The sequence below is a fragment of the Homo sapiens genome, chromosome 13 (genome assembly GCF_000001405.40).
Source record: "Homo sapiens chromosome 13, GRCh38.p14 Primary Assembly".
NCBI lineage: Eukaryota > Metazoa > Chordata > Mammalia > Primates > Hominidae > Homo > Homo sapiens.
Genome location: NC_000013.11, coordinates 112,900,121 through 112,914,873, shown reverse-complemented (window position 1 = coordinate 112,914,873; position 14,753 = coordinate 112,900,121). Strand labels below are relative to the sequence as shown.

Below are 14,753 nucleotides of genomic sequence, written 5' to 3'. Positions count from 1 at the left end.
AAGGAAAGTCAAGACAATGACGATTTGAAAAAATACTTTCAACTCACATCACTACAGCTAAACTCCCTAATTTATGAAAAGCGCCTAGAAAACATTAAAAGATTAGCAACCCAGCTAAAATATGGGCAAACAAAGATAAAAACATAAATGAGAAGCAGTTCAATCTCACGCATGAGATGCAAGTGATGAAAGTCTGCATTGGGAGAGCAGCTCACCATTCTCAGGTTGGAGCAACCATCAGACAAGGACATCAGCCTCTCCCATCAGACACCTCTGCAGGGAGCCGCTCCCATGATCACGTGGCTCACAGAGCGAGTGTGTGAGTACCTGAGGAATACTGTCAAAAAGCCTTTATTCTTTCACTCAGCCTCTGGGAATGTGAGATCCATACACCAGTACACACGCTGAAGGGCATGTATACTAGGTTACTAATTGCACCACTACAGTAGTGCCCATCAGCAGAGACGAGTGAATACAGTGTAGCCACTGCCCACTGTGCAAGAGAATAAGGATGCTGCTTCTTCATGGATGTGGAGTAGTCCCGAAGACAGAGCGAGGGGAGAAGCGTGCAGACGCTATTTACCATGTGCTACCTTTTGTACAAAAAAGGAGGAAAGTGTGAACATGTGTCTCAGCTCGCACATGGCAAGGCCCTCTTGGGGGACGCACCAGGTCCTGGCGGAAGGACCAGTGCAGAGCAAGAATCCTCAAGCCGTATCTTCTTTATTATTTTGATTTCTTAACCACAAGACTGTATATTACTTATTACAAACCCAAAAAAGAAAGAAGGAAAACAGGGAAGAAAGGAAAAAGAAAAGAACCCAGGCTGGCTCACAGGGGGAGAAGGGGCTGGGGATGCTAACGGGGAATTACGTCCCAACGCAACGCTAAGGAGTCTGGACTCGAGGTGCAGGCATTGGGGGGCTGATGGATTCTTGGCAGGAAAAGAACATAGTCCCAACGTCTGCCTGTCAAGTGAGCGAGAAAGAGTCTGCAGTGCTGAGAAGACAGAGCTGTTTAAAAATAAATGTTTTAAATGTGCACCTGTTGTATGAAATGGAGTGCAAAATTAAAGACATTTTTAAAAGCACACATTCGTTGAGAGGACGTCAACGAATCTATTTGTTGGGCTGAATCCTTCCCCAGCATCCCTGGGGCAGCCGTGATCCACACAGGGCACTAAGCCCTGGGGCAAGGGAGGTGGCAGGACAGACTGACCCACAGATGGACGTGCAGAGAAGCAGCCTGCCCCATGCACTTGAAGGAGGAAAAGACAACGCATATTTGCCACAAATGTTTACTAGCAGCCCATCCTCTCACACCGAGGCATTTTAAAATTATTGAGTAAACTCATTCTCAACTCAATGATCAAAGATCACATTTGTCCCCGAGAAGAAAGGTGCCAGCTGCATCAAACATAACTTTGAAAAATGCCTGCAGCTGAGACATCATGACGGCCACACATCTCTCTGAAAGCTTTTTGTTTTGCCAGGTGAGGTGAGTGATAATGTTCTGTTCTGGGTTTGCCATATACACAAAAAATCACACAAAGACACACACACATAAACACAGACACACAATCACACACAGACACACCCCATACATACAGACACAGAGATACACCAGACACACACACAATCACACACAGACACACCCCATACATACAGAGATACACCAGACACACACACAATCACACAGACACACCCCATACATACAGACACAGAAATACACCACAGACACACAATCAGACACATCCCATACATACAGACACAGAAATAGACCACACACACACAATCACACAGACACACCCCATATACACAGATACACCACAGACACACAATCACAGACACACCCAGACACAGAGATACACCACAGACACACAATCACACAGACACACCCCATACATACAGACACAGATACACCACAGACACACACAATCATACAGACACACCCCATACATACACAGAGATACACCACAGACACACACACAATCACACACAGACACACCCCATACAGACACAGATACACTACAGACACACACACAGGCACACCCCATACATACATACACACACAGAGATACACCACAGACACACACACAGACATGTGACACACACACAGCCACACAAAGACACAAGCCATTTATATAAGAAAAGAAGGATATAAAATATATATGGGGATATTTATTAGGTGACTTCCAGCAAATAAATAAAAAAGAAATGACACAATGAGGACATTTGCAGCTCTTAAGAATAAATTGGCCAGGCATGGTGGACTCACACCTGTAATCTCAGCACTTTGGGAGGCCAAGGCGGGTGAATCACCTGAGGTCAGGAGTTCGAGACCAGCCTGGCCAACATGGTGAAACCCCGTCTCTACTAAAAATACAAAAATTAGCTGGGTGTGGTGGCGTGCGCTTGTAATCCCAGCTACTTGAGAGGCTGAGGCAGGAGAATTGCTTGAACCCAGGAGGCAGTGGTTGCAAGTGAGCCCAGATTGCACCACTGCACTCCAGCCTGGGTGACAGAGCGAGGCTCTATCTAAAAAAAAAAAAGGAATAAATTAATAGATTTAAGCAACAATGACCTGTGGCTGCCAATGTCCCCGGACACTCACACCCAGACATTACCCACTCCTGAGATGGAGAGCACCACTCTGAAATTGCCTGAAGAGAAAGGTGTCCTCCTGGAGCTGGTTCAGGTTCTGAATAAACTAAACACAGGGGACAGAGACACATGTTAACTGACACTCTGAGGATGTGACTGCTGGGCCCGGGGATGGGAAACTTCACAGAACAAGGGACTTGGGCCACATGCACGGCCACCTCCCCAGCCACGTGACTCTTGGTGAGGGTGGGGTAGAACTTACTCAATGAAGACATTGTTTTTTCTTTTTAAAAAGAATTCAAAGTTCATCTCATTCCTATTCTTGGCGGATTGGCCACCTAGCCTGCGTGTAGCCTTTTTCTTCTCTGCTGCTAAACAGAACCTCTTTTCCTTGAGGTACCTGAAGTCTAAGTTCTGATGACACAGCTCAGTAATGTTTAGGGAAAACCCAGTAACCAAAGATCACATTTGTTTCTAGAAGGAAAGAAGTCGGAAGAGAGGAAGACGGAAGAAATCGCTGCTCAGCGCATCCGTGTGAGGTCCCGGGTATTCTGTGAGGAAAGGCTGGCGCAGGCCCGCCGCGCCCTCGGCCTCGGGGAAGGAGGTGAACACAGAAGGGGGTGCCGGGCCCACGGCTGAGACACCTGAGAGGACGCCTGCAGCCCGGGTGACCACAGCAGGGGCTTGGGTGAGGCCCGGGGCCCAGGTCTCTGGAAGTGAGGGAGGGTTTCAGAGGAGCATGGTGGGCGGGCCATTCCCAGAGGAGCCTGCAGCAGGCAGGATCCGGGGATCACGGCCAACATGGCGGCCACGCTGGGAGAGAAGAACCTGGTGGGCGCACAGGACTAGCGGCTGGGCCGCTCTCCCAGGCAGGAGAGTGTCTGGGTCTACACCCTGCATGGACGGTGCCGGGCGGAGCTGCAGACAGACCCCGGGACCCAAGGCTACGTGTGTAGACACAGGGCTCCGCCAGCCAGACCCATCCTGGCCGTGGGACATTGCAAACGGGCTCCCTCTGGCCATCACCTCTGACCAGACCCAGCCTCTGGGTCTTCTGGAGTCACTGACATGGTATGGAAAATAAAGCTGGGCTTAGGCTCCTGAGGGGGCCTTGGCATTCGCCACCCACCGCCAGGACGAGCTCCCGAAGACCCGCGGGGGTTCAACACCAGCTCCATCACCATGCATGCACCAGCTGACGCCGGGGAGCGGCCAGGTCCCAGGGCAGGGGCGAGAGAGTCAGCCCCACCCCCGCCCCGCCCCCACCCCCCAAATTCTGGGAAAGTGCTGGGCCCCCTGGCCTGCGTTTTGGCTGCGGCTTCATTTACACGCAGCTGTTTCTCCAAGGTGCCTCCAGCAGAATTTCAGACGAATTCTCCCACGAAATATTTTCCCCTTGAAAAGTGTTAGGTAATTAACACCCCCCAGGTCACCAGCGGCACAGTCCCGGCGAGACAGCCACCAGGAAGGTGAAGGCGAGAAGAGCTCTCCACTAGCGTCAGCGGCAAACCAGGGGACCGGGGGGCAGGAAGCCCGAGCCCCCCTCGTGCCTGTTTTCAGTCTAATTTCCTTTTCTAAGAAGCATTTATTCTGACATAGATAAGAAGGTTTCCTCATGCAGAAAAACAAAAAGAACAACAAATGGCACATGTATGATTAAAAACATTTATATTTAGGTGCATATCTTAAGTCTTTTACAAAACTGCACATATTTGGTGTTTACAAAATTGAAGACTGTGTATCGTTTTTATAACTGGCAATTTCACTTATTATAGTGTAAGATGTGCCAGGGAGAATTATGATCTCAACAACTAAATCATTTCCAAACCCTTACTGCTGTAATTTTGCTTTCCTGCAAGTGTTCATAATTATAAATAACGGCTGTGATGATCACCTTTGTTCATGAATGTTTGTGACAATATTTTTATCATTTTCTTCTTTTAAATTCTTAGAAGTGAACATTGCTGACGAAAACTAAAAATATTTGAAGACTTTTACTGACATCAGTTGTTTTCCAGTATATCGATAAGGACTGGCATTCCTACCAGCAGGCTTGGAATTTTTGGCCATAAAAATGGAAAGAGAAAGAGACCTTGTGGTCAGCATTACATTTCTTTAAACTGAACAGGTCAGCCTATTTCTGTGCAAGCTTTATATTCACTTTCTATGAACGTGTGCCTCCTTTTCACTCTGCTATGTAAGACAGATGCATAGATAAATATCTATCCTTTGTTGCAATTTTTTTCCAGGTTTTCATTTGCTGGTCAGTCTTCTTGGTGATTTCTCAGGAACAGTTTTAAGGTTCAGGTAGTAAAATCTCTTCATTTCGTGGCCAGGCACAGTGGCTCATGCCTGTAATCCCAGCACTTTGGGAGGCCAAGGCGGGCGGATCACTTGAGGTCAAGAGCTTGAGACCAGCCTGGACAACATGGTGAAACCCCATCTCTACTAAAAATACAAAAATTAGCCGGGGTGTCAAAGTGCATGCCTGTAATCCCAGCTACTTGGGAGGCTGAGGCAGGAGAATAGCTGGAACCCAGGAGGCGGCGGCCGCAAGGAGCTGAGATTGCACCACTGCACTCCATCCAGCTTGGGCAACAGAGCAGGACTCTGTCTCATAAAACAAACAAAACAAAACAACCCTCTTCATTTCTTGTTTCCATCAGATCCTTCAAAGAGATTCATCCTCTTGGTTATTAGACTCTCCTCCAAATGCCACTGAGCACTACCTGCATCCAAGTTGATAGACCCGCTGGCTGCGCACCCTCTGCGCTAGTGTAGGACTTCCCAAGTGCGCTCCTGACGAAGACGTTTGCACAGGACGCTGGGGTGAATGCTCAGGCCTGCCCCAAACCCCTGCAGACAGCCCCTTGGGATCAACGCCTTAGCCTGGCTTCAACCCATGCTGGGCGGGGAGGCCGGGTCTGTAGACACAGAGGTGAAGGATGTACTCACACTGCCGAGTGCCTCCCGAGACTGGCAGGACACCAGCTCACTGTGGACGAGATGCCGAGACCTCTGCTGGAATCACAAGCAAGGGATTAGACATCTGGGGAGAGGTTGGTTACAGGGGCTCCCTCGGGAACAGGCAGTGTTTTTGCCAGTCCTGGACTTAACCCAGAAGCGGATGAGGCAAGCAGGAGGGAGAGAATTTCTTTGCAGTGGGAACAGTTCAAACCAAGTGAATCCCCCTACCCAGATCATCCCCTCGGCAAAGCCGAGAGCAGCATGGATAAACATAAGCATGGGCGGGGCGCGGTGGCTAACACCTGTAATACCAGTGCTTTGGGAGGCTGAGGCAGGCGGATCACGAGGTCAGGAGATCGAGACAATCCTGGCTAACATGGTGAAACCCCGTCTCTACTAAAAATACAAAAATTAGCCAGTTGCGGTGGCGTGCATCTGTAGTCCCAGCTACTTGGGAGGCTGAGGCAGGAGAATGGCGTGAACCCAGGAGGCAGAGGATGCAAGATCATGCCAGTGCACTCCACCCTGGACAATAGAGTGAGACTCTGTCTCAAAAAAAAACAAAAAAAAACCAAAACAAAACAAAAAACATGAGCCTGGTGTTTGTGTCTGACACGCTGGTGACTAGTGATGCTTGCCTTTGATTCTGTCATGTCAAACACAGTTTCTTCAGAGGAGAAATCCGACTTTAATCATAGAGCACATATTGTAGAGCACTCAGGCAGAAACCCCTAACTTCCTGATAAAACACCCACAGAATCATGTGTGCTCTGGGGCATGCAAAATCGGCTCTGGCTCTGAGAAGGGGCTCTTGGGAGAGAAGCTGCCTGCTGTCTTCAGACACCTTCCGTTCACCTGAGGAGTCTCTCCAGCAGCTCAGAACAGTTACTCCTGGTTTCAGGTAATCCGCCACATCCATTTTAATTAAAAGATGAAAAATACTGCAGCCAATTCCATTCAGAACAGTCCATTTAGGCACCCTTGAATCAGAGGGCGCTTGGGAGACCAGAGGTCCCCTGTGCAAGCTGGGGCGGTGGTCCACCCCATCCCCCTAACACAGGAGCCCTGGTGAGTCAGAGCACCTGTGCCCCCATGCCAGCATCTCACCTGGCCTTGGGAAGCTGCCCACACCCTTGGCATTGGACACGAGCAGATACCAGCCATGCTTCCAACATTAACCAGTAACACAACTCGTTCCCAAATGTCTGGAGGTTCATATGCACTGAACACATGTCTTAAAAAAATTAGGAATTCCTGCCAGCTTCCTGAGTAATACACAAAGTCCAAGTAGAAAGATGCTGAGGAATCAGGAAAGGTTGAAAACAAGAAGTTAATCATTGACAGCCACACTGCAAGTACCATTTCCACAAACAACATGTTCATCTTCAGAGGCCGTCTCACTCGAGACTCAGAACTATAAAGAAAAGATGAGTGGAGGGAGCAGTGGGTGCTCATTCTCCCAACATGCGCTGTTCTTTAACACGGCGTGCTGCTGAGATCGCCTTTTCTCAGAGCTGTTTTCTGCAACACTAAATGGCATGCAAGGAGAAAGCAATGAATCTCCCAAGAAAATCATGAGCTTTGAGAACTGCATGAAGAACCAGGAAGTTTCAAGTCCAGAGTCTACCAAATTATTAAAGAACATTTTCTGTGGGCCAAGAGAAACCAGTCCATCAGCATACAACAGCTAGCACCCAACCACAGAAGGAGCCTGAAGATGTGAAGAAACACATCTTCCCCCGTCAGATTCACGAATGCACAACTACAGCCCCTGCAAAGGCCACAGTTGCCAGGATTCAGCCATTCTCCACCAAGCCGCGACTGACCCATGCTGGAAACACCGAGGATTCTCCACCAAGCCATGACTACGATCCATGCCACAAACACCGAGGATTCTCCACCAAGCCACGACTATGACCCATGCCAGAAACACTGTGGATAGCCAAAAAGCCAATTTCCTTCCAAGTATCTGTTTCTTGTGGTCATTTTCCCCTTCCCCAAAGTACATTTTCAGCTCCAGCTAATTGTTTCTGCAAACCCCTCTGTGAGACTCATATCTGAATGCTGCAGCCCCATCACTTCTCAAGGCTGGGGCAAGTCTTGGTCCTTCCCGAAGTGCTTCCCAACCCTCCCGCGTGCCCCCAGGTGGAGACAAGGTCCCCCCTCAGAATCCTGTGTAATCTCCTACCATAAAGCATGGAAGTATTAGGTCCAGCCATGGAATCATCCATGCTCCAAGGCTTCTGACATAGAAACAGCAATGTCGCGACTCCACCCAAGGCGGCAAATGTGTCTGTTTCTTCGCTGCTCTTCTTCACCCTAAGCCCAAGTCAGGGATTGTCTTCCACTTGTTCTTTTATCCTCAAAGCTTTGCCCAGCACCTGAACAGTGTGATGCTCAAAGGTTTGCTGGGACGAAAATCACTGGCATCTTTAAAGACACCACTGACCAATGGGGATAGATGGAGTTTCTAACAGGAGGCCCCACAAGCCACCCTAGAGCTAGAGGTGCTCGCCTGTGCCGGGGGCACCTCACCTCTGCTGCGCAAGGAAGTTGTGGGCGAACCCTCTTGCTCTCTCACGCTCAATTCTAAGATGATAGCGGTCCTTCCAAAGAGGCTGAACAACATGTTCCCAGGCCTCTGCTCTCACCTGGCCCACCAGAGCCAGAACGCATTACGCACCACTGAAAAGCAAGACCACGCACTCACGGCAGAGCGGGCACTGGTGTTTTGATAGGAAAGCACTGCCAGGGAGAGGAGAGCCAGACAAGCTCCACACGCACCCCATGGAACTGCACCGTGTGTGCGTGTGTGTACATATGCGTGTGTGCATGTTCCTGTGGGCACCTGCCATTCTCAGTGAGACAGGCCCTGCAGAGGGTGAGCGCCAGAAGCCACAGGGAGCTGATGCTGGCCACGCCTTCCCCATTCACCTGCAAATCCTGCAGCACAGCTGTGAGAGCTGACCTTTAGTGGAGTGAGTCAGCTTACAAAACGCTGCAGGCTCAGGCAGGAGCCCTGAGGAGGCCTGTCTGCAGTGTGTCCCCTCGGATTAGAGGCCCTTCCATAGCTGACTGTGAAACAGTTAATCGCAGAGTCACTGAAACAATGTGGTGGAACACTGTCACGATAGCTGAAATGAAGAAGCCTGAAGGAAACCAAGAGCAAACAGAGCAGCTTCAGACCGCACCGAGCGAGCTGGAAAATAAGCTCATCAATGTTTACCCAGCAGGACCCAGGCCTCCTGTGACCTTCTCAAAGACCAGTGTCTGTTGACTGAGAACAGGGAAGTTGGACGGGACACTGTTCATCGCCCAGCAGGAAAATAAAGGTAGAACCAGGGGGAATCACCTTCTATCATGGTTTCAAAATAAATACTTGCATGATGCGGCAATTCCACTTCTGGGGAGGCAACCCCAAGGCCTGAAAGCAGGGGCCTGCACAGGTATTTGCACACTGTGTTCATAGGAGTGTTATTCACAATAGCAGAGGCGGCTGTGACCCAAACGTCCGTGGATGAATGTGTGAAGAAACAAATGTGGTCCACCCACACTATGGAATATTACTCAGCCTTAAAAAGGAAGGAAATTGTGTCACACGGTACAACACAGATGAACCTCAGAATGTTATGCCCAGTGTAATAACCTCCAGTTACATGAGCTCCCTAGAGTTGTCCATTTCATAGAGAAAGAAAGTAGGATGGTGGGTGTCGAGCTGGGGGCAGGGGTGTTGGATACAGTGAGATCCTCTTCAAAAGTTCCACTTGTTCAAATCCCTCGTCTTTGTCCTTTATGCTCAAAGCCTAACTTCCTTGCCTCCTTGCCCCTAGTTACGGTAAACAAACTTCGTGCCGTTCCCAATCTGTAACCCACATCCATTCCCAATCTGTAACAACCCACATCTATTCCTTATTTGGTGCCTTTAGTTCTGAAACTGCTCTTCCCACCACTGTAGCCCCCACCCCTGTTCCATTTGAAGTAGCCAATCAGGATCAGCTGAGATTGTGTAGTCTGACTCCAGCCAATGGGGACTGGACACAGTAGCAGGGACTGGCTGCGTTAGGGATAAAACCCCCTCTCCTCCTTTGTTCGGTGTGCTCTTGCAGCGACCAGAAGAGTGAGCAGCACCCTTCTGCAGAAGTAAATTTGCCTTGTTGAGAAATCCTTTATTTACGTGCTCGTTTTCTTTGCAACTCCGAGTTCTTATTTCCAACAGGGGGAATGGGAGCGGGTGTTTAATGGGGACAGAGTTTCAGAGAAGATGAGAAAGTTCTGAAGATGGACACTGGTGGTGGTTGTACAACAGTGTGAGTATATTTCATACCAGGGAACTCTACACTTGACAGTAGTTAAAATGGTACATTTCATGGGTGTCTATTTTATGACAAAAAAAACTATCACTGATTTCGAAATTGTTCTGATACAAACAGGTTTCATCACCACCAACTGTCTCCAGCCAGCTGGGCTAGGACATTGCCAAGGCCCCAGGTCACCTGGAGACGGAGCAGGTGTGGTGCAGGCAGGGCCTGAGAGCCGAGTGCGGTTCTCCCGCAGGCCGCAGTCCACGCCGTGCGCTTCTCTTTCCACAGAGCAGACGAGGCAAGGACAGCCAGAAGGGCTTCACCGCTCAGAACTCTAAGCAGATTATCTTCCAATCCCCTGGAGTCCAGGGTTGGAGGGAAGCTGCCTAAAGGGCTTTCTTGGTAAAGCCAGCCCTGGGCCTCCAGGACTCAGGGATCAGAGAGGTTTTGCGAGTTAGGGGAGGAAGAAGTCAGATGTGACATTATTAAGAGCCACGGCTTGCTAAGTGGGTGCTCTGACCAGCCACATGTCTGGGCTCCTCACAGCAGCTGCCTGGATGCTACTACTGCTGCCCACACTGCAGAGGCTTCTCAACCCACCCAAGCTTGTGGGGTCAGCAGGGGCAGGAACAAAGCCAGAGCGTGGGCCCAGGCTCTGCTCCACGGCTGGTGCACGGTGGACCCTGACATGCTCCTGAGCCTGGGAGAGCTCGGTACGTTGAGAAATAATAGGAGCACTTGGTTCAGTTGTGAGGGTTCCCTAACCCTAGTCCTAAATCTGCCTTACCCCAAACGCTACCCCTACCCCTAACACCTACCCCTACCCCAGTCCCAACCCCTAACCCTAACCTTAACCTCTAACCCTAACCCTAACCGCGGCCAGCTCCTCAGTCCCCAGAGCTGGTCCACGCGAGACTTGGGCGCTCAGGGAAAGGCACCAGTCCGAGGTTCTGAGTGGCCACGGGCAGTTAATTCACAGCCAAGCTGAGCGCGGGAAGACTCAGCAACCTTCCAGTTGCAGAGGTCAGGGCAGCCAGCTGTCTGCACGCGCTAAGTAGCCCCTCACTCCTGCCCTCTTCTGAAGCCCCCTGCACAACAGCTAAGCTGTGTGCAGCACTGTCCTGACAGCCCCGCTTCACTGTTGTAGGAAGTAGCTGTCTCCTCGCTCACAGGGTTTCTCAGGTGTGTACATCCCAGAGAAGCAGGCGGTGTGCCAGGGAATAATGAGAGCACCTGGTTCTCAGTCCGTGAGAGGTCCCAAGAGGCTCAGTCCTCACCTCTCATTCGTGACAGTCACTGACAAGGGAAGTGATGGAAATCAAATTCTTAATCCCGCAGAACTAAGCACATACCCTGACTGGGGTGACTATACCGAAACGCAGCCCCCCAGCCAGCCAGCTCTAAACCAACAGCCTGCGTTTCCAAGTGCAAGAGTCTACACAAGTTGTGGCCCAGAACCACTGGGCCAGGGAACCACAGACACTCGGCAGTCACCAGGTGGAATCTCTTTCTACAGCAGCAGACACACAGAGCTGAGCTCTGAAGACAGGGCCAGGGCAGTTCTCACCTGAAGACACGAAACAGGAGGGAATTCCTGGGCACCAGCCCTCAGGGCAGCAGCCGTGGGATGGGGACAGGATGGACTCTGAATGCGAAAGTCTCAGAATGATGCCTTGACCCAGCAACTCCCAAGACTCCACTAATCAGCGCAAATGCCAGCTCAGGACAAGGCCCAGAAAAGCACCAGATTTAGAGCAGGCAGCAGAATTATCAAAATCCCTTCTCAGCTCAGTGGCCACCCCATTGGTGCTGGAAGCCTGCACGTCCTGTCCAGCCAGAGGATGGATTTTGCAATGCCAGGCCAGCACCCGGCCATCAAATCCACGCCTGCCCTCAGTGGTGAGTGCCCACACTGGGTTTGTCTAGTGACAAATTTTGGAATCAATTTGGGAAGAAATGGCAACAAATAATTAAATGCAGGCAAAACTAGGAACAGAGAACTCAGCCCCTTGCTCAGGTTAGAAAATACATGCAGAACATTCAGACAGGCAGGGGCTGGAGAGAGAAGCATTGTCTGGCCTGGATCAGGAGGTCAGGCTGAGCTTGGAGAGGCCACTCACACCCCAGGCCTGCCCAGCTCTCACCTCGGGGTACAGCCAATTCCAGACGCCCAGGCAGGGGCACTGGTCTGGAGACCAGCTGAGGCTTTGCCATGTTAATATGAAAACATACAAATTCAGACAATAGCTCTTTTGTTTCTAAAGAATGAAGCAAAGCCTACAAATTGTTCCCTTCAGGTATACTGTGCTTTATTTGGAACCCAAAGAAACATTTCTCATGATCTCTAACCGGAGCCAAACTCATTTTAAAATACTCACTTAGATAACCAATGCCAAGTCAAACAAATGACCACACATCTTGAGGCAAGTCGTCCCAACTTGGACCTGGGCAGGTAAAAGCCACGTGAACCCATTCGAGGCCCCTCCCACAGCCTGCTACCTGGGGGGTCATGCATTCCCAGGATCTAAACCTTGTCAATCTCTAAAAGGACCGGAATAGCAAAGAACAGCACAGGTCTGATCAGCAGTGAGACCTGCAAAATCAAATGAGGCCGCAGCACCAGGCGCCTACCTGTGGCCATGGCCGTCGCCTCCGGTGTGTCTTGAACAAGCCTGATGACGTCAGACACATCAATTTGGTGATCCGTTTCCTCCTTTTTGGCCTCATTGGGCCGTTGTGGGGAAGAATAACTGTTGCTTCCAGGTCTCTTGCACAGGATAAATCTCCAACAGTCAAACATGAGGCTGCAGAAAAAAGATTTTAAAAGCACGATGAGGTCATGCTGCAGAAAGACTTAAGAACTGTTGCTCTGAACAAAACCGAAATAACTAGTTACAACCTTCGTGGTATTTATTCTGCAGTGAAGATAGTATGTTTGAAACTAAATTCATTCTTCTCCGGTCAATTTCCACTGTATCAGGGTTCACTTACACAAGGAACCTTCTTCTATAACTCTGACACAGAATAAAGGGTCGCAGGAGCAAAACATATTATCAACTTCTGCTGCTGAAGAAAAGAAAAACAACAACAACCGAGGTTTTCCCCTCGACATTCAGACTCCTGTTTCAAAGACATAGACGTCCCTAGTTCTCCAGGTTTCAGTATCTAATTCGCCGAACTGGCAAACTTTCAAAATCAGTGCTGATTGCTTATTCAGATTACCTAAAAACATTTCTAAATCCCCTAAGTAGAGAATGTCCTCCGAGTTCCAGAAACTTTAAAGCATAATTCCTCACTGAAAATTTGGCAAAGAAACTTACACGAAGTTTTTGGGAAGAATCTTAAATGTAAAGAGAAAACTAGTAGCTGCATTTCCAACCGAAGCCTCAGAGTCACTTGCCGGCAGCCCTTCCCCTCCCAGGCGGTGACCTGTGGTGCCTTTCCGTGCTGTCTTTCAGCACATTTATGGCTCACTGCTACTTCCCACTGTTGGCGTCCCACCCGCAGGACCCCTTCCCTAGGAATAAAGACAGCAACAGTTTACTTAAATAAACCGTATTGTGGCTCACGCCTGTAATCCCAGCACTTTGGGAGGCCGACGCCGGCGAATCACCTCAGGTCAGGATTTCAAGACCAGCCTGGCCAACATGCCGAAACCCCGTCTCTACTAAAAATACAAAAATTAGCCAGGCGTGGTGGCCGGCACCTGTAATCCCAGTTACTCACGAGGCTGAGGGACGAGAATCACTTGAACCCAGGAGGCGGAGGTTGCAGTGAGCTGAGATTGCACCACCGCACTCCAGCCTAGGCACAACAGTGAAACTCCGTCTCAAAAAAAATAAAATAAAAAATAAACGGTATCGGTGGCTCCACCAGGGATGTCGCTTTCCACGCCACTGTTCACACTGCATCCTGTCGCCCAGTTCTGCTGCTGCCTGGGCCTCAGCTCCCTGGGGAAATCCCTCCTGCCCTGGTATTCCCCTGGGAAGGGGCCGCCTGCCTCCCTCCAACCTGAAATCCCTGCTCAGAGGCCCCTGCTGGGACATCTCCCCCTTTCATTGTCTTCAGCTAAACCCCATCCCATCCCTCAGGTCAGACCTGCAGGTGCCCAGACCACCCCACAGGCGCTCTCAGGGCCACTGCTGTCAGTCCCCAGGGAGCTTTGCAAACACCAATGCCCGGCCCTGGAGAGCAGGCCCGTCCCGAGAACCACTGCCCCACCACATGGAGCCCTGAAGGACGAAGCCTGCCCAGGACAGGGTGATACCCATCGCCAACCCACAGTCCAGGTCCCAAACACTCTGGGGACACCAGGGCCACACCCATGCCCCTCACAGCAGAGGCTGTGCTTCTCCACCCGCCCCTCTTCCCCCAACACACAAGCTCCACAGCCTTGACTCCCACCCCACAAACACACTCACCCCTTGGTGTTCATCAGGGCACAGGCCTTCGAGACCACCCCACAAACACTCACCCCTCAGTGTTCAACTCATCCCTTTGCTGCTACTGTTCAGAACTTGTTACACGTCCTGGCTCCTGTGTGGTTTTTCATACATGTCTTTTGTTTACGTGTGGCGTGTTCTCCAGCTGACTTGCAGAGCCTGCCACGAGGCTGCCTGCGCATCTCATGCCCACCCTCAGTGGCTGGCACTGGGACCCAGCTGTGCTCACCACCTTGTCCGGGCACCTGCTTCATCTCTGCAGAAAGGTCCGGGAGGGGCACAGACCTGAGGACAACCTGGCGCAGGTCTAAAGGCTTATTTTCTGATTGCTTAAATCTAATTTCAATGATTAAAAAGTAGGAAGAAAAATGTCCCTGGTTAAAAAAACAAAAGCAAAATGCTGTTTTGTCCTTTTTCTCTTCCAAATTCTCCTCAGAGAA

General features: G+C 50.3%; 1 protein-coding gene across 6 annotated transcripts in view, besides 4 other annotated features; it reads right to left on the bottom strand.

Annotated features, from left to right (window-relative positions):
• Positions 1–14,753, bottom strand: part of MCF2L (MCF.2 cell line derived transforming sequence like) — a 205,408-nt gene that overhangs the window by 184,869 nt on the left and 5,786 nt on the right. For 4 of the 6 annotated variants that reach the window (NM_001438391.1, NM_001438392.1, NM_001438393.1 and 1 more), the window contains exon 2: positions 12,503–12,675. In NM_001438391.1, coding sequence (NP_001425320.1) covers positions 12,503–12,671 — 169 coding nt within the window. In that variant the 5' untranslated portion in view covers positions 12,672–12,675. Of the gene's footprint in view, positions 1–12,502; positions 12,676–12,770; positions 12,937–14,753 lie in introns of those variants that run through there. The other 2 variants (XM_011537483.3, XM_047430222.1) reach the window with 2 other exon arrangements.
• Positions 7,700–8,573: an enhancer, noted in NCBI's record as "NANOG-H3K27ac-H3K4me1 hESC enhancer chr13:113560615-113561488 (GRCh37/hg19 assembly coordinates)". NCBI's record gives its function as "activates a minimal SCP1, AML or CMV promoter by ChIP-STARR-seq in naive H9 embryonic stem cells {active_cell/tissue: H9 hESC(naive)}" and the evidence as "EXISTENCE:reporter gene assay evidence [ECO:0000049][PMID:30033119]".
• Positions 8,574–9,448: an enhancer, noted in NCBI's record as "NANOG-H3K27ac-H3K4me1 hESC enhancer chr13:113559740-113560614 (GRCh37/hg19 assembly coordinates)". NCBI's record gives its function as "activates a minimal SCP1, AML or CMV promoter by ChIP-STARR-seq in naive H9 embryonic stem cells {active_cell/tissue: H9 hESC(naive)}" and the evidence as "EXISTENCE:reporter gene assay evidence [ECO:0000049][PMID:30033119]".
• Positions 11,205–12,079: an enhancer, noted in NCBI's record as "H3K4me1 hESC enhancer chr13:113557109-113557983 (GRCh37/hg19 assembly coordinates)". NCBI's record gives its function as "activates a minimal SCP1, AML or CMV promoter by ChIP-STARR-seq in primed H9 embryonic stem cells {active_cell/tissue: H9 hESC(primed)}" and the evidence as "EXISTENCE:reporter gene assay evidence [ECO:0000049][PMID:30033119]".
• Positions 12,080–12,956: an enhancer, noted in NCBI's record as "H3K4me1 hESC enhancer chr13:113556232-113557108 (GRCh37/hg19 assembly coordinates)". NCBI's record gives its function as "activates a minimal SCP1, AML or CMV promoter by ChIP-STARR-seq in primed H9 embryonic stem cells {active_cell/tissue: H9 hESC(primed)}" and the evidence as "EXISTENCE:reporter gene assay evidence [ECO:0000049][PMID:30033119]".